We start from the raw sequence: 1,466 nt of genomic DNA, 5'->3' as shown, positions 1-1,466 counted from the left end.
CACTTGGTAATTGCTTTAGGAGACCCAAGAAAGTTTAACCCTAAAACAGAAGTGGAGACAGTCAAAATGCAACCAGGGGCCAGGCCCAGTGGCTCACACCTGTAATCCCAGCACTTTTGGAGGCCGAGGTGGGCAAACCACGAGGTCAGGAGTTTGAGACCAGCCTGGCCGACATGGTGAAACACTGTCTCTACTAAAAATACAAAAATTAGCTGGGTGTAGTGGCAGGCGCGTTTAATCCCAGCTACTCGGAAGGCTGAGGCAGGGGAATTGCTTGAACCTGGGAGGCAGAGGTTACAGTGAGCCGAGATCGTGCCACTGCTCTCCTGCCTGGGTGAGAGTGAGACTCCATCTCACACACACACACAAAAAAGATGCAACCAGGTTGAGCTGCACCAGGTAGTTCTGTTAGAGGATGAAGGTAGGACTAGAAAACAAGAGAGTTGGTTGAAAATCTGTTTAAGAAGCTGTTAGAAGGCCAGATTATTTTTCTGCCTCCATGCAGCTGGTGACTGTGTCTCTTCCCTTTTATCAAGAGAAAACTGGAGGTGAGGTCTAGTCGATGAAGAAAATAAAACCAGAGCCCTTGGACTCTAGGATTCCAGAACAGAGAAGCAAAACATTACCATATTAATATAATTAATTAACATATCATTACCATAATAATATGGAAAATCAATTGCAAATGTTTATACTGAATAATAATATATCCGTCCTTTGAACACACTGTATACCAAGGACTGTATTAGAAACAATAGGGATAAAGAAAAGAAAAAAAGAGTGGCCCATTCTTACAAGAAACTTCTAGCCCAGTGGGGAGGACAGAGAAATATATTAATAGTTAATTGCAATTCAGTGTGTTAACAGCTATGAAAGAAAATACAATGTATTGGAGTCCGTCGGAAAGGTACCAATTCCAAATTAAGAGCCATAGTCCTTTTGACCATCATTGTTTACACCTATCCTGTGTCCACTTTGGAAAACCTATTCTCCTGACAGCCACTAGAAGGGGAAGTCCCACAGATCCTGGGACATGGCACTGCCCCATGACTAATTTGAACAGAGAGGGAGGCCTCACAGAAATCCAGCAACCCATTGACTCAGCTGGGACTGAGGTTTCCTTGGCTTGGTTTGAGGTTTTCTGTTGCTTGAGAATTCTGCAGCAGACATAGCTGGAAGATCATGACGTATTAGGCTGGCGCAAAAGCAACCGTGGTTTTTACAGTTAAAAGTAATGACAAAAACCGCGATTACTTTTGTGCCAACCTAATAGAAAAAGGGGCTTAGGGAGACCATGCTGTGCTGTGCGCAAGGTGAGTCAGCAGAGGAATCTGCCATACACAGAAAGGCAAGCACGGAGCGAGCTTTTGGAAAGAAACGGAGACAGGAGGGAACATGAAGTGACCTGATTGTCGGGCCCTAGCCCCCACCTGCGTGGCTCTACTCTCCCTCACCTACTGTCTTTG

General features: G+C 45.0%; 1 non-coding gene across 1 annotated transcript; it reads right to left on the bottom strand.

The window, feature by feature from the left end:
* Nucleotides 1-1,200: 1,200 nt before the first annotated feature.
* Nucleotides 1,201-1,260, bottom strand: MIR548H5 (microRNA 548h-5). Its single transcript, NR_039610.1, has one exon. It is a non-coding gene; the product is annotated as a microRNA 548h-5 (primary transcript).
* Between the last annotated feature and the right edge of the window lie 206 nt (nt 1,261-1,466).

Source organism: Homo sapiens, chromosome 6 (assembly GCF_000001405.40).
Source record: "Homo sapiens chromosome 6, GRCh38.p14 Primary Assembly".
Taxonomy (NCBI): Eukaryota; Metazoa; Chordata; class Mammalia; order Primates; family Hominidae; genus Homo; species Homo sapiens.
Note: the sequence above shows the minus strand (reverse complement) of the source record. Positions and strands in the feature narration are given on the sequence as shown.